At 52.3% G+C, this 21,246-nt stretch overlaps 1 protein-coding gene across 24 annotated transcripts in view, besides 4 other annotated features; it reads right to left on the bottom strand.

Moving 5' to 3' along the window:
* Positions 1-21,246, bottom strand: part of CAMTA1 (calmodulin binding transcription activator 1) — a 984,253-nt gene that overhangs the window by 229,091 nt on the left and 733,916 nt on the right. The gene's annotated exons all lie outside the window — the stretch shown is intronic.
* Positions 1,693-2,398: an enhancer, noted in NCBI's record as "H3K27ac-H3K4me1 hESC enhancer chr1:7598278-7598983 (GRCh37/hg19 assembly coordinates)". NCBI's record gives its function as "activates a minimal SCP1, AML or CMV promoter by ChIP-STARR-seq in naive H9 embryonic stem cells {active_cell/tissue: H9 hESC(naive)}" and the evidence as "EXISTENCE:reporter gene assay evidence [ECO:0000049][PMID:30033119]".
* Positions 5,670-6,649: an enhancer, noted in NCBI's record as "H3K27ac-H3K4me1 hESC enhancer chr1:7594027-7595006 (GRCh37/hg19 assembly coordinates)". NCBI's record gives its function as "activates a minimal SCP1, AML or CMV promoter by ChIP-STARR-seq in naive H9 embryonic stem cells {active_cell/tissue: H9 hESC(naive)}" and the evidence as "EXISTENCE:reporter gene assay evidence [ECO:0000049][PMID:30033119]".
* Positions 13,121-13,321: a silencer, noted in NCBI's record as "peak36 fragment used in MPRA reporter construct". NCBI's record gives its function as "represses an SCP1 promoter by STARR-seq MPRAs in K562 erythroleukemia cells {active_cell/tissue: K562}" and the evidence as "EXISTENCE:reporter gene assay evidence [ECO:0000049][PMID:32103011]".
* Positions 13,281-13,481: a silencer, noted in NCBI's record as "peak35 fragment used in MPRA reporter construct". NCBI's record gives its function as "represses an SCP1 promoter by STARR-seq MPRAs in K562 erythroleukemia cells {active_cell/tissue: K562}" and the evidence as "EXISTENCE:reporter gene assay evidence [ECO:0000049][PMID:32103011]".

Below are 21,246 nucleotides of genomic sequence, written 5' to 3'. Positions count from 1 at the left end.
AATCCAGCTGTCGTGCAAAGAGGAATGTGCACAACATTTCCTGCACCAGTTACCCATGTCCTTGGAAAGTGTAGACATCTATTGAACTCACAGCCATGGAGCTGAGCTGGGGCCTGGATGCCGGACTGCTACCCTTCCAGCTTCTATTCTCCCCAGCAGGAGCTGCTTTCCTGGGTGGGGGGTGGCAGGATTTCAGAAACTCAGCCAGGAGCTCATGGAGAGACTCCAGGTTAGGGTTCTCTCCTGGTAAAATCTGGTCCCCAAAGGAGCTCACCCTGACTAAACCCTGCCCGTACTCCAGTTCTAATGCTGGGCCCCAGCCTGGGTCCCCAGGGCTGGAATTCCTACGTGTCTTCCATCCACCCATCCATCCATCCATTTCTCCATTCATTCATGCATTTAATTAATTATTCATTGAGTCGCACTTATGCACCAGCACTGTCCCCATTACCAGGTACACAATCATGAACCAGGCACTGTTCTTGGAGTGGGGCCAGATCATGGCAACAGAATCACAGCACACAGAGAAGGATGTACAACGTTGGGTGTGTACAGGGTTCAGAGGAAGCCCAGGGCAGGGCACGACTAACGTCCTAGAAGGTAAGGCTTCCTGGAGGAGTCAGCATCCTAGCTGGGCTCTGAAGGAGGAACAGAAGTCTGCAAGGTGATCCATGCAAAAGTAAGGGACAGCCCAGCAGAGGGCGCTGCTTGATCCCCTGCCTGAATCTCAACTCAGGCCAACCTTCTACCTGGCCCGCTAGTTCTCTGACTCATGAGATGCCTATCAGGCAGTTCTCATGCTGTCTCTGCAGGCACCTTCCACGTTGGCCCTGCCGTCTGGCCCTGCCTTCCTATGTCTGCCCTCATCATTCCTGGCTGGAATTTCTGTGAGATCTTGGAGGTGGGCAGACTCCACCATGCATGTGTGATGTAGCCAATTCTGTATGAGAACGATAGCATCCTAAGTGGAGTTATTTTGACACTGTTCCAGTTTGCATAGGAAACAGAGGAATCAGGCTGCATGTGCTGTGCAATGCACAACTCTAGGAGGCGCCATTCCCACAAACTTCGGAGTGATATATCCCCTGGAATGGTTCAGCGCAATAGCCCCAAGAGGAACATTCTTCACTCATACAAAGAAATATGCTACGTGCTTTCTCTTGAAACACATGGCCCACTTGTACTATCTTTCATTTCCCACTTTTGGAAGAAACCTGGGTAGAGGGAAATATTTCTTTAAGAAAAACCACTGTGCAGACACCATAAGAAAAGGCCACTGCTCTTCAGCCTGAGCACTGGGGAGATAGCCTGAGAGGGTGTGGCCTGGGAAGCCAGATGGCCCACGTCCTGTCCCCCAAGGCTGTGGCTGTCCATCAGTCCTGCCTGTTGCAGCCATGTGGGGATTTAGGGCCAGGAGGTCAGGTCTTCTGATTCTTCAAGAAAAGTCATACATCTGGGTTTGCATGTGAAACTCCCAGATTTCTATATGTGGGTTCAAATATGTATAAAACACTGGAAGGCCCGAGGGCTCTGTGCTTGCAACCCTGGCCCTGAGGGTGGCAGGCTGTTTGCATCTGGAGGCTGTGATCTCCGAGGGGAACTCTGAACCATGGGGAGGATGAAAGGGAAGGAAAGCAGGCTGGGACCCCTCTGGCCAGGACATGCTAGAAGGTGCTAGTAGTTCAGCGCTTGGGTACATTTTCAGGAAGTTCAAATGACCGGAAGCCAGGAAACTCCATGCTCCTCCAGTGTCAAAGTAGAAAGGTGGGTTCACCCACACTGATAGCTCTATGCTGCCTGGTCTAAGCATAGCCTGGGGCAGGGCCACCAATGGAGAGGCAGCTGGTCAGCTGGTCACACGCCCTACCTCTTTAAGAACCCCCACCCCTACATCGTAATGAGGCAGACTCAGTTTGTTGGGGTCTGAGGTCTATATAGTTTGTTCATTTTTTTTTGTTGAGAGACAGGGTCTTGGTCTTGATCTGTCATCCAGGCTGGAGTGCAGCAGTGTGATCATGGCTCACTGCCGCCTCAGCGTCCTGAGCCCAAGAATTTTCCTGCCTCAGTCTCCCTAGTAGCTGGGACTACAAGCACTTGCCATCACACCTGGTTAATTTTATTTCTTTTTAGTAGAGACGAAGTCTCCTATGTTACCCAGGCTGGTCTCAAAACTCCTGGGCTCAAGTGATCCCCCCGCTGTGGCCCCCCAAAGTGCTGGGATTACACTGCACCCAGCCTGGGTATTTTTTTTTTAATGAAAAGAATACATAACTCCTTGTGTATTCAGTTGCAGGGGCCTGGAGACAGCCTGTGACCTGGCCTGCTGATGTCTGCTTGCACTGACTCATCACAGCCAATTATACATCTTTCCTCTCAACTTTGCACTCAATGACATCATGCTGGTAGCCTGAGAATTGGCCGTGGTGGGAGTACTCGCACTATGGAGATTGGCAAATGCCACAGATCAGGCTTTTCCCCCTAGAGAGCTGGTTGTTCAACAGCTACCAGCACAACACTGCACGTGCAAATGAGGGCTCCAAGCTTGAGCATCATTAGCTCCGTGGTAAACTTGCCTCTGATCGTAACACATTTATTAGGCAGGGGCCCATGAAGAACAGAGCAGAGAAAAACCTAGAGCCACGACGTCAGACAGGAGGAAAGACTGTTTTCTGAAGTAGAAGAAAATAGGAAAAGACCCCTTTGAGAGGAACAGGTTTTCCCTTCTCAGTTTGAGCTGGGAATGAAAAAGATTTTAAAAAGTCTTTTTTTCTATCCCCAAAAGGCGAGACTGAACCTGGAGTTTCCCTTTGAAAAGTGCATGGTTTGGGGGCATTTGCTGAATAAAATCATCCCAAATTAAAATCTCATTTCCTTCCAGGGGCTAGAGAGTGTGTCTATTTGTCTGGGGCTAAAGGACCTAAATTCATTTTAAGGGAAGAGATTCATCAGTGAGGACGGGCTGAGAAGCTTCTAGGGAAGATCCTGCCCCAGCTCCTGTATCCCGATGCCCTTCAGCAGAGAGGCCTTGAGGACCAGCGTCCCCAGGGTCTGGCAGCCTCGTGGGCTCAGCCCCACCCCATTCCAGCTGGTGGCAGCCTGAGAGTCAGCCCCGCTGTGCACAGACGCCTTTTGGAGAAGGGTTGTTAGGACCTTGGCAGCCAGGGCTGTGTTGCTGCTGTTGCTCGGGCAGGGGCCTCTCTGTCCTGCCCACTCTGAAGCTGGTGGGGCTGCACCTGGCTGCTGGCTGCTCCCAGGGGCTCAAAGCGTCCTTCATGGTGTGGGGGAGGCCACTTTGCCGACTGCCTGGAGCAGGGGCTGTGTTTGCTTGGACTGGCTGCCGACGGGCAAAGGATCACAGGAAAGGTGTCCTTTCCAAAGACAGCCCTGATGCCCCATCCACTCAATCATGCTTCGCCCCATAAACCGTGGGGCAATGCGTCCCTCCTGCTTAGGCCACATGCCTGCGAGCTCCGAATGCTGCATTTCTCAGCTGTGGGGGAGGAGGCGCCCGCTGTAGCCCACAGCTGCAGATGAATGTCACCTGCTGCCTGCTCAGAGGCTGCTACCTGACTGGACAGGGAGCCCCTGCCTAAGCCGAGGGCTTCCTGACCATGCTTGGTCCAGGACGCTCTCTGGAGCAGGTGATGTCTTGAGATGGCAGAGGGACGAGGAAGATGTGGGCAGGGAGGGGGACGAGAGATCAATGGGGGCAGGAGCCACCAGAGTTGATGCCTGGGGTCAGTGAGACCTTGGCCAGCTGGGATCCCTGGGAGTAGCTCAGGGGACTCTTTAGAGGGTTAGGGCTTCAGGCTGCAGGCAGCGGGGCAGCACTCCGCGGGTGGAGCAGAGGGAAGGCCTTGGTCGGATCTGCTATTTAAATGAGCGTCGCGCCTGCCGTGCAGAAAGCCCTGCGTCCACACCTCAGCCCAGTGCACCATGGAGGCAGCCCTTCACACACTCGCTGGACCCAGGGGCCGGTGTCCCAGCCCCGTCCCTGCCCCCAGCAGCCCTGCCCGGTCCTAGTTTTGTTCCAGAATAGGGAACCCTGGGCTAGAGCCCCTGTCAAGGCCTGCCCAGCTCCAGTAAAATCATGATCCAAATTCTGGGATCTCCAGCTGCCTGTTTAAGGACACCCAATGGTCACAGACTTGGGACTAGGATGCAGAGAAACCGAACCCACAGCAAAGGGCAGGCTGCAGCGGCAGGGACGCAGAGTGAACCCAGGGGCAGGCACCTCCTCCCCGTCCTTTGATTTTGCCACAAAGCCCCTCCCTGCCGCTCACCCTGAAAGTGCTGAGTCAGTTGCAGTTACTTTTTAATGAAAGTGCAGAGCAATTTATTTTGCATGAGAATCTCCAACTATCTGCCCCTCTGGGAGCCAGACTGCAAGGGGTGGGGAAAGGAGCTGTGGGGTTTTATGAGCCCTGTCACTTAATACACACGATGACGGGGGCTGGAATGTCACCTCTGGGGGCTGCCATGTCACCTCTGGGGGCTGCCAGGGATGCTTGGCCCACTCTACCTTTGTCAGCGTTTAGTTTAATGCCACGAGGAGGTTGTTATAGCCCAAGTCTATACATAAAGGATTTACAATTAAGGTTATTAGCATCAGGTGGAACCTAAACTTGGCAACCTTGCATTTCATGCACAGAAATAATCGTGTAGTGCATTTTGTTCTGATTCAAACAACAACAGCAAAAAGACCGGAGCTCACCCACTGTGGGCTTCCCTTGCTAAAACATTTTCACACCTGTGGCAGCGCCCCAGGTTCCTGTGGGGTAGAAGCCTCTTTGAAAGGTGCCTGTGGGTCTCAAAGTACAGGGACTGGCTGAGGTATCACCTCCTGGGGTCATAGGTTGTGTCCCAGGGTGGTGGCCACAGAGAGGTGACAATACTAGGTGGCTGTCTATTAAACCTGCCAGGTGAGGTTCAGGAGGTGTGGTCTTCAGCCAAGTCTCCTGTGTTTGCATCAGTGACATATTCCAAGGTCTTCTCCAGCTTGCAAGTGGCCACTCGTCTCCAGTCCTGCACCCAAGAAAGTGCTGAGGTTTCCCGGGTACAGAAGCTGCACTGAGAAAGCGCAGCTTTGCCCATCTCTAGCGGGTGACTGGGCCATGCTCGCAGCCCAGACGTCCCAGAGCCCCTCCAAGTTTTACTTTAGGACCATGTCACAGGGCAGGTCCTGAGCCCACATACTCTGTCTGACGTAAAGATTGAGCCTGCCCCTGCACACCAGCAGGCTTTCTTCAGGAAAAGACCTGGGGGTGGAGGCGGGCGGCACTCCCTGGGCACTGCAGCTTCCCCAGCCCAAGGAAGAGCTCCCAGCCCTCAGCAGGCATCGCCCCAGAGGACCGGGGGCCCTGCCAGGGGTGCCTGACTTCAGAAGACACATGCTGGCCAATCAGAGCCCCTTGTCACCAGAGTCATTCGTTCATTCATTCACTGAAACTCACTGAGTTCCTCCTTTGGACTCAGCTCTCACCCCTGGCATGGACCTGCCGGCCTTGCTGCCTCAACGGCCTGTGGGTGGCTGGCCCGGGGTGGGGCGGGCGGCCTGTGGTGTCCACATCCCAGCCATCTCCCTTGACTCCCCTTTTTTGGATGGGATCTTCCTAGCCCTCCCCTCCCCTCCTCTCTCCTTCACTCCCTTCCCCTCCTCTTCCCTTCCCTCTGCCCTCCACTTTCTTTCCTTCTTTCTGCATCTTTTTCAAAATCGAGACAGAGTCATCTGTACCAGGCAAAAGGCAAACCCACTTCCTCTGGCCCCAAGGCAGCCTCAGGGACAAGCCATAAACCTCACTTTCGCTGGCCTTTCTCTAAAGTTGAGGACTGCTAGTGGAACCCCAAACTGACCCAGCAGCAGCCCCCCAGGCCCCAACTCTGCCCCCTGTGGTCTTAGGAAGGAGGAGTGAGGAGTCCCCGCCGTGGCCTCAGCTCCCCTCGGCCCGAACGTCCACTGCTGTGACCCTGGACAGCTGCTGGCCTTCTGCGGCCACAGCCCGTGCCGCCGAGGACATGCCAGACAAAGACAGAGGGTGTGGGCTGGCCGGGGAGGTGGGGAGCAGGTAGTGCCACCCCACAGGGCTGGGCCTCAGCTGCCTAGGAGGGTGAGGACTGCCACTTGTTTACAGGGAAGCAGATTTTTTGTGAAACGTGACACAAATTCATTTGGACAAATAACACTCCATCCACAGTGGCTTCTCCTCCCCGGGTCTGCAGCAAGCTCTCCCCGTGTGGCCCCGGGGTGTCAGGAAGATTTAATTCCTCCCTTTCTAGAATGGATGCTTGGAGGGGGATGTTGACGCAAACTAAAAATAGCCCCGCGGCCCCCAGCCTCGGCCTCCAGCCAGCCTGGGCTCTGCTGAACGTTATGATGTTTCTCACGGAAAGGAAAGACTAATGGATTTCTTCCTTCAGGCAATTAAAAAGTGATTTGTCACACACCAAGATGTATGGCTTTGTATTGGCAGATATGAGGCTGCCAGGGGCCTGGCGGGCGGGGTGACCGGTGATGGGAGGGGCCTCAGGAGTCCCATGAGCCCCCAGGAGAGCCAGGCTGGGCAAGGGCAGGGTTCAGGGTCAGGAGAAGGCTCCAGGTACAGTAGATGAGGCTTGACCATGCGGCATCCAGAAGGGCCCTGCTCCTGGCTTCAAGGGAAGAAGCCTGGACGTTTTCTTTTTTTCTTTTCATTTTTTTTTGGGGGGACAAGGTCTCGCTCTGTCATCCAGGCTAGAGTGCAGTGGTGTGACTGCGGCTTACTGCAACCTCTGCCTCCCAGGGTTCAAGAGATTCTCCTGCCTCAGCCTCCCGAGTAGCTGGGATTACAGGTGCACACCACCATGCCCGGCTAATTTTTATATTTTTAGTAGAGACAGGGTTTCACCATGTTGGCCAGGCTGGTCTCAAACTCCTGACCTCAAGTGATCTGCCCACTTCGACCTCCCAAAGTGCTGGGATTACAGGCGTGAGCCACCGTGCCCGGCCGACGTTTTCTAATGTCTAGTCCAGCTGGAGAAGTCCAGGAGCCCCAGACCCCAACTGTCCACACCCCCAGCCTCTCTGACACACTCAGTAGGGAGAGGATGTGACTCCGTGCTTCCTGCTGCAGGGACACCCCACCTCTACCTCCCTTCGGAGTAGCCCTTGGTCCCTCTTGGCAGTTCCTTCTTTGGGGATAAAGCTATCAGAGGTCAAGAGTAAGGACCCAGCCCTTCTTCAGCCCCAGCTGCTTGGTGCCAGGAGGGTCTCTCTTGATTCCTTAGTTTGAGGGCAGGGCAGGTAACCCTGGCCCACCTCCCTCTCTTCTGTCAGCTGCCTGCAGAGGGCACAGCCGGCCTGTGCCCTACCTCAGTGGAGCCTGGAGTGGAGCCCGGCAGGGAAGGGCCTGCCCCTGGAGGGAGGCTCGGGACCCATCCGGCACGTGCAGCAGGGGAGGGGTGCCCCCCGACTGACTGGGGACGCTGGAGGGAGACTCCTGGGCACATCCCCACTGCTGCCCAGCACCCGGGCACCACAGCGCTGGAGGAATTAACCCAGGAGTGTACCTCCAACTGCCTTACTCTTGTTTCTCTCAGTAGGTTCAGAACTCAGGCAGGGAAAACAACGTACTAATTATTGGGACCCTCAACTCCCACCTGGGCCTCCCATCTCTTGTTCCAGATGAAATCCCACCCTTCCCAAAAAGCCGCCACCTGCACTGGTCCAATAAGAGTCTTCTGTCCTGAACTCTTTGGGGCCCCAGGGTCCATTCCACCCTTTGACATTCAGCACGTGGGGCCCTGCTGGCCTGTTTCTCTTTCTGTGTTCCTTCCCTTTCTTTCTTCTTCTCCAGCATGGATTAAATCTCCCTTGATCCATCCACTCATTCATTCTTCTATCAGCGATTGGGCACCCATCGTAAACAGTCACTACCAGGCTGATGGGGAGGCAGGTACTGCCTTCAACTCCAGGGAGAAGAGGGAGGTTGCCAAGCCCTATGCTTTTTGTAAGTTTCAATACCTGACTGGTAAATATCTGTGGCCTAAGTGATGGATTAAAGAAAGAAGCTGAACTCGGGGGGCCGAAATGGGAGGATTGATTGAGCCCAGGAGTTCAAGACCAACCTGGGCAACATGGTAAGAGCCCCGTCCCTAAAACAAACATAAAATAAAAATTAGCTGGGCACAGGGGTGTGTGCCTGTAGTCCCAGATACTTGGGAGGCTGAGGTGGGAGGATCACTTGAGCCCAGGAGGCTGCGGTGTGCTGTGACTATACCACTGCACTCCAGTCTGGGCAACAGAGTGAAATCTGTCTCTAAAAAAAAAATAGAAAGAAATGAAAGAAGCTGAGAAGATGGCCACCTCGGAGGGTGAGTGGCAGTCCTGACTTGAGGGCACTAGTGTGCAAGAATGTCCCCTCCACCAAGAATCCGAAGGCCACACAGGAAGGACTGGCTCAATGGAGACGTCCCAAGGGCTGCAGCTTAGGGCTCGGGTGGGCCCGGGAGCCTCCAGGTACCGCTGGAGTCACCTGCCTCCTTTTCTGTCACTCATTCGCCGCCCCTGCCCCTTCCTCTCTGCCTTTCTTCCACTGCTTTCATTTCCTTCATGGTATTGAACATCTAAAGGACTAGCATGGTGTGAAGCCTCAAGAACGCCAGCAGTTTGGGGCATTTTGTAGGTGCGTTAGAAAAAAATTACTATCTGTTCAAAAGCCAACATTCAGCCCAAAGGTTCTGTGGCCGCCCCAGATGGACACCCAGAGAAGTGGAACAGGACCACCTGACCAGCTCACAGGGCAACCTGCCCCGTCATAGTCCTCTGAAGTCTCAGCCGCTCTGTGGACCACAGGCACGGCATGGAAGGACTGTTTATTCAGTGATGCTGTTCTCAGAAGCTCTGCGCTTCTGGAGGCAGCTCAACTTCAAGACTTTAAGGAACAAAGAGGTAGAGGGAGGGGCTGGGAGTGGACCTGGCGAGAGGGAGGCTCCTCTCCTCTGGGTCCCCCAGCCTAGGGGATCCGGGCACACTTCTCTCAGGCCTGCTTCTGGTCTGAGACCCGTAGTGGGCCAGAATTGATCTCCTTCCTGGAGATCTCCTTCCTGGACTTGGGGTTCCTCTCCCGGAGTCTGGGGAACGAGGTGCTCAGGAGTCCCCTCTGCAGGTTTTTCGAGTAAGGATGGTGGTTGACACTGAGGCCCACCTTGCCTGGCAAAGCACTCAGCAGGTCTGCATGCATTTGCTCATGGAACCCCCAGCGAGTCTGTGAGGTGGCACTGTGATGACTCAGCCCATTTTACAGGTGAAGAGCGTGAGGCATGGAGAGGTAAGAACATCACAGACTCTGAGACTTCGGTGGAGGCACAGTGACAACAAGGCAGGAAAAGTGACTCTTAGGTCACTCTTTGCTCTCACCGGGACTTTACTATTCCCACCTTCCCTCCTTCCCTCCCTCCCTCCCTCCCATCCATGCTTCCATCCCTTCATCTTAACATTTATTGAGCATATTAAGAGGTTACTGGCCAGGCGCGGTGGCTCATGCCTGTAATCTCAGCATTTTGGGAGGCCGAGGCATACAGATCACCTGAGGTCAGGAGTTTGAGACCAGCCTGGCCAACATGGTGAAACCCCGTCTCTTCTAAAAATACAAAAATTAGCCGGGCATGGTGGCAGATGCCTATAATCCCAGCTACTTGGGGGAGGCTGAGGCAGGAGAATTGCTTGAACCCGGGAGGCAGAGGTTGCAGTGAGCTGAGATTGCACATTGCACTCTAGCCTGGGCGACAAGAGCAAGACTCAGTCTCAAAAAAAAAAAAAAAAAAAACAAGAGCTCACAGTGCTGGACATACTTTAGTAAATTAAAAAAAAAAATCCACATTCTGATCTATGGCTATGGAGCTGACGTTTGGGAGGGAAAGATGATAATAATAATAATGCACATGTGATGAGTCCCTACTGTGTGCTCCATATGCAGCTTCAAAGTGGCAGAGACTTGACTCAGATAGATCCAAGTTTGAATCCTGGTTTTTTCACCTAGCTGCTGTGCAGCCTCGGGCAGCTTCCTTAACTTCTCAGACCCTCCCTCATCTATAACCCACCCCCGGGACTGCTGGGAGGATACCTGGGTTACAGTGGACAGCGACATTTGTGAGGCTCCCTGGAGTGGCTTGATTTCCATAAATCACCGAAACAAATGCATGTCCCCAGCTGCTAGGGACCGACCAGAGTGCCGCTCTGCCTCGAATCAACAGACTTAATATTTAATAATAATCTGCTGAAAGGCACTTCGGTCAGCTCAGTGCATCAGTGCCACACTAATAACAAATTACTTCTTAAATTATTAGCCTCGGTTCCTTTCATGAAGCTCTGGTTAAGTTTGTATCAAGGAGGGAGGAGGACGAGCTGGGGCCAGCTGTAGCCTGAGGCCAAGGTGGCTGTGCACGGGCTGTGCCCACACACATCTGCATCTTTCTGTGTGGGTGGCAGCCACAGGTGGGCAGAGGGGTCTGGGCAGGGTGCCGAGGTGCCAGAGAAGGGAGGGTAGCAAGGGCTGTGGGTGGAGCTGACGAGCCCTCCCCAGGTACAGGGAAGTCAACCTCTGCTGGGCCCCAGAGAGACCCCACTCAGCTCCTGGTCGGTGGCAGGGGAGCATGCTGGGCACGGGCAGCAGATGCCCCTCCAAGAATGCCCACCTGTGCAGGAAGCTTCTTATCCAGCCTTTTCTGGATATGTTGCCAGCATGTGGCCTCCCAGGACAGCCTCACTTCTGGGTTACACTTTATCCTGGTCATGGTCGCCATTTATCAAACACCTACTATGTGATGGGCTTTACATTACACCATTTCCATTAAAAACCCAACCACATCTTTATAAGGGAGTGACTGCTTTGCCCCATTTTACAGATAGAGATGTTAAGGTTCCTTGTCTGAGGTCAAGAGCTTGTAGCCAGCAGATCTGGGAGCTACATCCAGCCAGTGGGGCCCATAAGTGAATGTTTTTAACCCATAGACAGCAGAAGTATCACAGAGGAGCAGGGAACGTGGACTCGGGGCCTGCCTGCACGGTGCAAATCCTAGATCCTTCACTTCCATGTGGTGTGAGCTCAGGTTAAGTTACTTAAGCTCTCTGTGCCTCAAGTTCCTTGTCTGTGACAACAATGTTTTCTACCTCGAAGGGTTCTGTGGGGGCTCAGCGAGCGGGTACTGTCGCACGGGGTCAGTGCAAGGCCAGGAGGTATGCGTCATTACTGGGGCCAGATTCCCACATGGTATGCACCGAGAGGACAGAGAGCCCCAGCTCACACAAGAGGAGAGATGCAGACCCAGCCCATGCCATGCAGAGAAGCAGGTGGAGGAATGTCCAAGGTCACAGGGACCTTGAGCAAGCCTGCCCCATGCCCATCTCTGCCCCACTCCTCCCCGCCATGAGGTCCTCTTGACTCCAAGAGCTATCCTGGACTTCTGTAGGCTGTCCTGACCTTTCTATGAGTTTTATGGAGGCCCCCTTCATTCCATATCCACAACAGACCCGTGGGATGGGCAGGGCTTGGCAGAAACTCCTGGTTAGTTGCTAGGAAGCAGATGCTGCAAGCAGTGAGCTGACTTCCCTGGGTGTCACTAGTTACTGGCATGACTAGTTACTGGCATGACTAGTTACTGGCATGACTAGTTACTGGCACCAACCCTGTGCAGGAGTTTCTACCCTACACAGGGGAACAGAAGGCATGGAACACATTCTCACAGACATTGTCAGCTGCTTCAGGATGGAGTACAGCATAATTATTCTTCATTCACTCACTTCATTCATTCATTCATTCATTCATTCATTCATTCATCCATCCTTTCATTCCTTTACATTTGATCTTAGCCAAAAGGCCAAGAAACAGTTCATTCATTCAATAGCTATGTGGTTTTCTAATTCCAATTCTGCCTTTCTCACTGACTTGGTGCAAGTTTCCTGGCCTCGGTATTCCCATCTGTCAATAGGGCACGCCACCATCTTTCCCAGGACCAGCCACTGTGAGGGCACATCCCAGGCCTCATGCAAAAGCTCCTCCCCGAGACCAATGCAGACGCTGACAGCAAAAGTCAGATACCAGCCTGACTCAGAGCTGAGGAACCCAGGCTCCTGGAAAGGAGGCCAGATCTCCGGGGCCCTCTAGGAGATCCCTAGTTGTATTTATCTTTAGAAAGATTTTTTTTTTTTAAAAAACCAAAATATTAGCTGTGGTTAACTTTGAGTGTCAGGCCTTGAAGCTATTTTAATTTAAAATTATTCCTGTCTGTTCTGAAGGTTCTAAGTTTTCATCAATGAACATGGATTGCTAGTGTCATAACAAAGCTAAGGAAGGCAGTGAAACACTAACTCCCCCAGGCCTTTTTCCTTGAGGGCTAAGCCCTGAGTCGACTTTTGTTGTTTTTTTTCATTACCAACAAGGAAAAAGAAATGCGTGGAAAAGCTCAGGAACAAGATCAGTCTGCTCTCGTCAATCTAAAGAGAGCAAGCTTTTTCTTCCCAAGGCAGCGATGGTGTGGGGAGACAGGCAGAGCCACAGGCACCTTTGTCTGGGCTGTGGGATTCTTGGTCCCACTGGTGCAGCAGTGGTCACGGGCTTCCTAACCCCAGGGCTCCGTCTCTAGTGGCTTCAGAGTCCCTTTCTAGGCTCTTGCCGCTGCGCCCTCCAAACCTTCCCCAGCTTCTTGGAGCGATCTCTAGAGCATTGGTGCTGCTGTTTGTCCCAACCTCTGGCAGGTTCCAGAAAGGGCAGGGATTGGGGTGGAGGCTGGGAGAGAACAGATAGGTACAGGCTGAATTTGTGAGGTCGGAGAACCGCAGCCACTTGTGGGGCTCCCAAGTGAGGCACCCTTTCCCCTTAGCTGGTTGGGGGCATGAAACTAGACCTGGGCTTTCAGCTCCCTATCTCCGGGTCGAGGCAGCTTCTAGTGACTTCCAAGAGGAAGAGCCTGGGCTGTGCCCGATGAGCATTCTGGCCTCTTAGGCTCAAGATACAAGGCCCCAGGTCAGCTGTGCTGTGTTTCCCTGCTACCTCCCTGGCCCTGCCCCATCCAGCCCCTCTGCAGGGCCAGGACCCAGGCTCTGTGCTATACTCTTGCCTCTGGTCTCAGCTCCTTTTCAGACTTCCTGTCTTAGGAGCGAGTTTAGATGTCTCAAAGTCCCAAGCTGCCTGGAGAAGCTGCTCTGTATTTTGAGGCCAGAGGTTGACCTGGCGCTGCTTGTCTTCCAGCTTTCTCTTTCTAGCCCAGGGATGACTCTCCAGGGGTGGATCGTCTGGGAGATGATGGCTGTAGGCTGGGACCAACATGATGTCATGGTGAAGAGCTTCTGTGGATTCAGATCCTCATCTGTCACTCAGTGGCAGTTTAGGTCACCTTCCGGAGCCTTAGTTTCCTTCTCTGGAAACAGTCACTCCTTCATGGGGTTAGGGTATGAGTCAAACGAGATCATCAGATATAAAGCTGATCATGGTGGCTACAGTCAGTGGTGGCTTTGAGTTTCTCAGGATGCACAGTCAGGCAGGCCTGGGTACCCCAATCCTCACAGGGGAGAGGAGCAGCCGCTGGCCTGGGGCAGGAAGAGTCAGGTCTGCATGCCCCGGTGATAGCCGTGGGGGTGGAGAGACCTTCTCAGCAGTCAAAGTCCCTGTTGGAAAGGCTGCTTTCTTGGAAACACAGGCCCCAGCAGCTGGGCAAGGAATAACGTAGCTTAATGCCCAGAGACACAAATAGAGTGAACTCTTCAGACACTGCTCCTGGGGGTGGCCAGCCCTGGCTGGAGGGGTGGTCACCCAGCCCCATCTGCTAACAGAGAGCCAGGGCCTCCTCATGTCAGCCTGGTCATCTGGGCAGGCCCTGGCCTGGCCTTGGATGCCCTGAGGGTATCCAGAAGGCTCACTGCTAGAACGCAGGCTGGTGTTCTCCAAGTGAGTGGCTGGCCTCGCCCCTCAGCCAGGCCTGGAGGAACATGCCCTTCTCTGCCATGAATCACCACACACTCATGCTTTGTCCCACCTTTGTCCCTCACCCTTGGATTTCTGTCCAGGACTCCTCCGCCTTCCAATGGCTCTTGCTGCTTTGTTCTGAACCCCGACGAGGCCAGCTCACAGCTGTGGTCTGTGTGCAGTATCCACGGCCTGGACAGACCTCAGGGCTCCAGGCCTCAGCCTCTTCCACTGCAGGGGAGGCCCATGGCCAGCCTCTGTCCAGTCCGTGCAGACTGTGGGGTGGGGGGCAGGGGTGTGCAGTAGCCACGGGCTTAGGAAGGAGAAGCAGAGGTGGGCCTGGGGCTTTGGTGCAGTGGTGGGCGGTGGGGGAGCTCGGGGAGATGCATAGGTTCAGACTGGAACTCCAGCCTCCAGAGCCCCTGGAGCCCCTGGGGTGGGAAAGTGCCATCTCTCTTTCTTCTCACCCCTGGAAACCTCTTCCCCGTGCTTCTGTCCTGCTTATCCTTCTCCTTCTGCTTGCAGTGACAATGTCTCCTCCCTGGGAAGCCTTCCCGTAGGTGTCCTGCCTTTCTTTAAAATGTTGATTTTGTGTTTATCATGGATTTTTTGCATTAATCTTGATTATCAAAAATATTCTATTAAAATATTATTTGGCTTCACAATTTTTTTTTGTACCACCTTAAATTTGTACCCCATGCCAGTGCCTCACCCTGGTCCTGGCCCTGCCAGGCTTCCCAGGTCTGGGTGGGGGCTCCCACAGGCCGTGGGTCTGTGGGATCAGGGGACCCACACTGTCTTGCCTGCCTCCCTCTTCAGACCGTGAGCAGCTGCCCGCCTGGCCCTGGGCGCTAAGTGACATGCGGGCAGTGGGTGCTCAGTAGATGCTCGTGGAAGGAGTGCCCACTGGTCAGGGCTGCCCACCCTTGGCTGTGACCTGAGATGGAGGAGCAGGGTGCAGGGGTGGTTTCACAGATATTCAGATGAGGATGAAATCACCCCGTATCTCTTGATACCTGCAATCATCTTTCCAGCTGGGATTGTTCTGGGGAAAATGAGCCTCGCTGTCCTCCCAGGAGCTGGCCTGATGATGCTCAGAGTCGCTATGAAAAAAACCATCAACTCGGCAACTCTCCAATTCTGTGAGCCTCTGCCTGAGGCCACACTGATAATAATAATATTATTGAAGAGATTTGCATATAAAGAAATTGTTCCCTTGATTAAAAAAAACACACACAAGAACATCAATAGCGTACCATCCTGCGGATGTGGAGATGGGGGGAGCCTGAGCCTCTGCAGAAGGTTCCAGAGTCAGGGCTGGAGCTGGGATGGGTGAGGGGGCTTGTCCTCTGCCTGCTGTGGGCCAGAGGCTCTAGTGGTATGTGTGTGTAGGGGGGTGAGATGGGGGCCTGAGGACCACCACACTGCTCCCACCCTGCTGCAGGGCGGCCCGGAGAAGAGTGGGTGCTGGGGGCTGTCTGGGATACACATTTCCTGGAAAAGGAAAATGGTAGAGCAGAGCAACTCCTGGAGCCTCAGCCAGCCCTGGCCAGCCCCCTGGAGAGGGGATGCAAGTCTCATGCAGCGCGACGGGGGCCGACGCGGGGGCGGGTGGAGTTTGGGTGTTAGACTGCATTTCTCAAGGGCAGGTCTGCAGCCCTTGATTTCTGTACCACAGGGTGCAGGCCTTGCTGAATGAATGAATGAATGAGTGGATATGTGAATGTGTGAATGGTCCACACTGGTTTGTCAGGGTTCCTTTTCCTGAGGGGCCGGGAACATGGCACAGGACAGAAGGCTCAGCCAAGGGGAGAGGGATCGGTGGGGTAGAGGACAGGATTGCGAGTCAAAAACCTGAGCGGGAGGCTGTGGACCCCTTACCCACCGGGCCCTCCAGGATCCTGTGAGGGGCAGGATGTGAATGAAAAGCAGTCCTGGGTATGGTACAAACTGGTGGGTCCCAAAGTTTCTGATTTCAGGGGCAGCAAAGTTTAACAAATGAGGGAACTGCTCTCAGCAAGTCAGGAATAGCAGGAAATTATCTCAGCTTGATAAAAAGCATCTACAAAATCCCTCTGGCTCACATCAATTTAATGGTGGAAGACTGAGTGCTCTTCCACAGATGAGGAATGGGGCAAGGATGTCTGCTTGCACCGCCCTCACCCAACACAGTACAGGAAGTTCTGAGGCAGTAAAGCAGGAGAAAGACGTAAAAGCCACACTGATGGGACAGGAAGAAATACAACTGTCTGTACAGATGACATGATTGCCTAAATAGAAAATTCCAAGAAATCTACAAAAAAAATCTAGAACTAATTAGTGAATCCAGTAAAGCTGGAGGATACAAGATCAACACAGAAAAATTGATTGCATTTCTATATGTTCATCATAAATATGTGGCCACCACAATCACAAACACAATACCATTGATAATAGCTCCAAAGAAAATGAAATTCTTTTTTGTGTGTGTGGAGACAGAGTCTCCTGGGCACTCTGTCGCCCAGGCTGGAGTGCAGTGGTGCGATCTCGGCTCACTGCAATCTCTGCCTCCCAGGTTCAAGCAGTTCTTCTGCCTCAGCCTCCCAAGTAGCTGGGACTACAGGCACGCATCACCATGCCCAGCTAATTTTTGTATTATTAGTAGAGACAGGTGTTTTACCATATTGGCCAGGCTGGTCTCAAACTCCTGACCTTGTGATCCACCCGCCTCAGCTTCCCAAAGTGCTGGGATTACAGGCATGAGCCACTGCACCCGGCCAAGAAAATGAAATTATTATTATTATTATTTTTTTTTTCGAGATAGAGTCTCACTCTGTCGTCCAGGCTGGAGTGCAGTGGTGCGATCTTGGCTCACGGCAAGCTCTGCCTCCCAGGTTCACGCCATTTTCCTGCCTCAGCCTCCTGAGTAGCTGGGACTACAGGTGCCCACTACCACGCCCGGCTAATTTTTTTTTTTGTATATTTAGTAGAGACGGGGTTTCACCGTGTTAGCCAGGATGGTCTTGATCTCCTGAGCTTGTGATCCGCCTGTCTCAGCCTCCCAAAGTGCTGGGATTATAGGCGTGAGCCACCGCACCCGGCCAAAAATGAAATTCTTAAGCCTACACTTCACAGAATGTGTACAGAATTTGTATACTGAAAATGACAACATGCCAATGGAGGAAAATCAAAGACCTAGTACATGAAGAGACACATACCTTTTTCATGGATTGGAAGACCCAACCTAGTGAAGATGTCAATTCTCTTCCGATTTATCTATAGGTTTAATACAATTCCTATCAAAACTGCAGCAATATTTCGGATAGTCATGGACAATGTATCCTATAATTTATATGGAAAGGCACAGGGCTTAGAATAGATACCAATATTAGAATAGAATAGCTAAAACAGGCTTGACAGAGAAGAATAAATAAGAACCCACTCTACCTGATACTGAGGATTAATACAGAGTTATAGCAATCAAGTCAGTGTGATGTCAGAGGAGAGACAGTCATATATTAATAGATCAACAGGGCCAGACACGGTGGCTCACGCCTGTAATCCCAGAACTTTGGGAGGCCAAGGCGGGCAGATTACCTGAGGTCAGGAGTTTGAGACCAGCCTGGCCAACATGGTGAAACCCCATCTCTACTAAAAATACAAAAATTAGCTGGGCGTGGTGGCGCATGCTTGTAATTCTAGCTACTCAGAAGGCTGAGGCAGGAGAATCACTTGAATCCAGGACGCAGAGGTTGCAGTGAGCTGAGACTGCACCACTGCACTCCAGCCTGGGCAACAAGAGCGAAGCTCCTGTCTCAAAAAACCAAAAAAAGAGATCAACAGAACAGAATACAGAACCCAGAAATAGCCCCAACAAACACACTCAACTTATTTTTGACAAAGGCACAAAAGCAATTAAATGGAGGAAGGATAAACTTTTCAACAAATGGTATTGGAGCAATTGGATATCCACAGGCCAAAACCAAAACAAAACACAAAAAACCAAACCCCAGAAACAAAAGGAACCTCGACCTAAACCTTATGCTTTAAACAAAAGTGAACTAAGAATGAATTACGGACTTAAATGTAAAATTATAATACTTGTAGAAAAACACAAGAGAAAGTATTTGGGATCTAGGACTGGGCAACTTAGTCCTAAAAGCATGGTCCATAAATGGAAAATGCTAAAACTGGACCTCATCAACATTAAAAACTTTTGTTCTACAAAAGCTCATTTGGAGAAGATGAAAAAGCAAGCTACAGACTGGGAGAAAATATTTGCAAATCACATAGTCAGCAAAGGACTCGTACTGAGAATATAATAACAAACTCTCAAAATTCAACAGTAAAAACAAGCAATTCCATTAGAAAACGGGCAAAAGACACATAGAGATATCTCGGCAAAGATGATATACAGATGGCATGTAAGCACCTGAAAGATGCTTAACATCACTAGCCTTAAAGAAATGTAAGTCAAAGCCATAATGAGACATTACTACATACCTATCAAAATGTCTCAAATAAAAAATAGTGACAACATCAAATGCTGGTGAGGCCGTGAAAAAACCGGATCCGTCATACCCCGTTAGTGGGGATGTGAGATGGTACAGTTGTTCTGGCACACGGTTTGGCAGGCTAAATCTGCAGCTACCACAGGACCCAGCAATTGCACTCTTGGGCATTTATCCCAGAAGTTCACATAACAACGCACATGTGATGTTCACAGCAGCTTCATTTGTCATTGTCAAAAAATGGAAACATCCGGACGTCCTTCAATGAGTAAATGGTTCAAACAATAGTGGTTCATCCATAACATGGAATAACTCCTCAGAAATAAAAAGGAAGGAACTGTGGAGTGAGCGCAGTGGCTCACGCCTGTAATCCCAGCACTTTGGGAGGCAGAGGTGGGCGGATCATGAGGTCAGGAGTTCAAGACCAGCCTGGCCAACATGGTGAAACTCCGTCTCTACTAAAAATACAAAAATTAGCTGGGCATGGTGGCGTGTGCCTATAATCCCAGCTACACAGGAGGCTGAGGCAGGAGAATTGCTTGAACTGGGACCCAGGAGGCAGAGGTTGCAGTGAGCTGAGATTGTGCCACTGCACTCCAGCCTGGGCTACAGAGCAAGCCTCCATCTGAAAAAAAAAAGGAACTGTGGACATGCAACGGTGGTGGATACACAAACCTACATGTATAATAAATTGTAGAGAATGAAACACACACACACACACACACACAAATGCAAGTAAAAATGGGGAAAACGGAATGAGACTGGTGGCTTGTATCAACATTCTGGCTGTGATATTTATGCCGACATTTTGCAAAATGTTACCACTGGGGGAAACTGGGTAAGGAGTACTTGGGAGCTCTCTGTGTTATTTCTTACAACTGCATATGAGCCTACAATTATCTCACTAAAAATTTCAATTAAAAATGGGGGCGCTGATGGGGTATCATCTTTTAATTTTGCCAAATAAGTCATTAAGAAACAATCACCCTGTCTACCATCACCATGCTTTCATAAAAGAGAGGACATTTTAAAGTGTAATAAAAGCGGGAAGATCAGTCTCAGAATAGAGGACAGTCCTTTGAAAATGAACATTTAGCTTATGAAAAGCCCACCACATTTTTTTTATTTTTCTTATTTCCCCATGGACTGATAAGAGTTTCATCACAAGCAATACAGGATTGAAGACAAGTATTTGGGAACCACTAATATCAAGTGCTGGCTAGTTATATATTATTATGGGGAAGGTGAGGTGTGTGGGTGCATGTGTGTGTTTGTGTGACTGTCTGTCTGGAGGGGATTTTGCAGTGTCTGGCCATGCTGAGGAAGGCTGGTCTGGAAGGTTCTATGGATACCTGGGGAATGAGGTGCCAGGGCCTTTCTTGGACTGGAAGAAGCCAATACCAACATCCTTCTCACACATTCCACAGCAAGATGCACGAGGCTGTGTGGCTCTTTAGGTCCTTGGCGTAGGAGCCTGGGGTAGCTGGGACTGCTGAGAGAAGGTTCCCCACCGCCCAACTCTGCAGCCAGTGCTCCCCAGCTGGGTGCCCAGAAGGGGCCCCTGCTCCCCTCTGGGGCAGCCACCCTAGCAAGGTGGGCAGATGACGGGTGCCCATGTGCTCTTCCCTCTCTGTGGGAGAGACACTCCCACTCAGCCAGACCCCTCCTGTGGGGATCCATGTCTGCCTGTGGCACTCATGATGGATGGGCGCCTGAGACTGGAACCCAAGGCTGTATCCTGCTGGCCCCACCTCCCTGCCAAGACACTTGTACTCAGCACTTCGGAGAGGGGCCGTAACCCAGCGCCTGTCCACACATCGAATAACTCTCAGCCCCAAGTTGTGGTGGTCCATAGACCCCACAGGACCCTGGGAGAGGTGGGCTCCAGAGCCTCACCAGAGCAGACTCTCATTTGGTTTTTAGGCAGGAGGAGGAGGGAAGAGGAGGGGAGAGGAGGAGGGAGGAGGAGGAGGAGGAGGAGGAGGAGGTCGGCAGTCCAGCCAGGGCAGCTGAGGCCTGAGAGGCGGCCAGGTGCTGAAAGCAACAGGGTGGGTTCTTCAAGTGCAAAGCCCTGGAAATGAGTTGGGGGGCTGGTGGACTGGTGGGGAGTCCACAAAGAGAGCTCTGCTAGGGGAGTTGCTTTTTGTGCTGAAGACTTTTGGGTAGGGGAACAACATGGAGTGATGTGTTTTAGAAGCTCCCGTTCTGATGGTGCTGTGGACTGTGGGCCAGCACGGGACAACTGATGTGCCCGAGATGAACAGGGAGACGAAGGCAGTAGTCAAAGAGAGAGGTGAGGAAGCCCCAGGAGGGTGGTGGCTGTGCAGATAGAGGGGCAGGGACCACTGCGGAACATGTAGGAGTAGAACTGACCAGGTTTGAGTCATCCAGATGTGGGGGTGACCAGATAGATGGTGGCACCTGTCAGGGAGAGAAGGAGCCCCTGAGGAGGAGTAAGGGGACAAAGGATTAGCCCAGCATCACCTCTACTGAGGGAGGGGGCATGTCTGTACACAGCTGTGTATGCGGCCTGAAGCTCAGGGTTGGCTCTAGGCTAGATTTCAGGATTTGGCATCATTGGCCCGGGCAATGAGAGTGGCAGAGGTGGCTCAGGGAGGAGAAATTCAGTGAGACGGGGCCAAGGAAGGTCCCTGGCTGAGGAACACTGGAGGAAGAACCACAAAGCCTGGCAGAAGCCCTGCCTGCATCTCCAAGGCTCCTTGAATGCCTCCAAAGGGATCCTGGGCTTCCCCCTCCACACCAGGCTCCAGGCGTGCAGAGCTCCTTCTGCCAAGACAGCCTGAGCAGTGGCCATGCTG

Source organism: Homo sapiens, chromosome 1 (genome assembly GCF_000001405.40).
Source record: "Homo sapiens chromosome 1, GRCh38.p14 Primary Assembly".
Taxonomy (NCBI): domain Eukaryota; kingdom Metazoa; phylum Chordata; class Mammalia; order Primates; family Hominidae; genus Homo; species Homo sapiens.
This window is presented reverse-complemented; position numbering and strand designations above follow the sequence as displayed.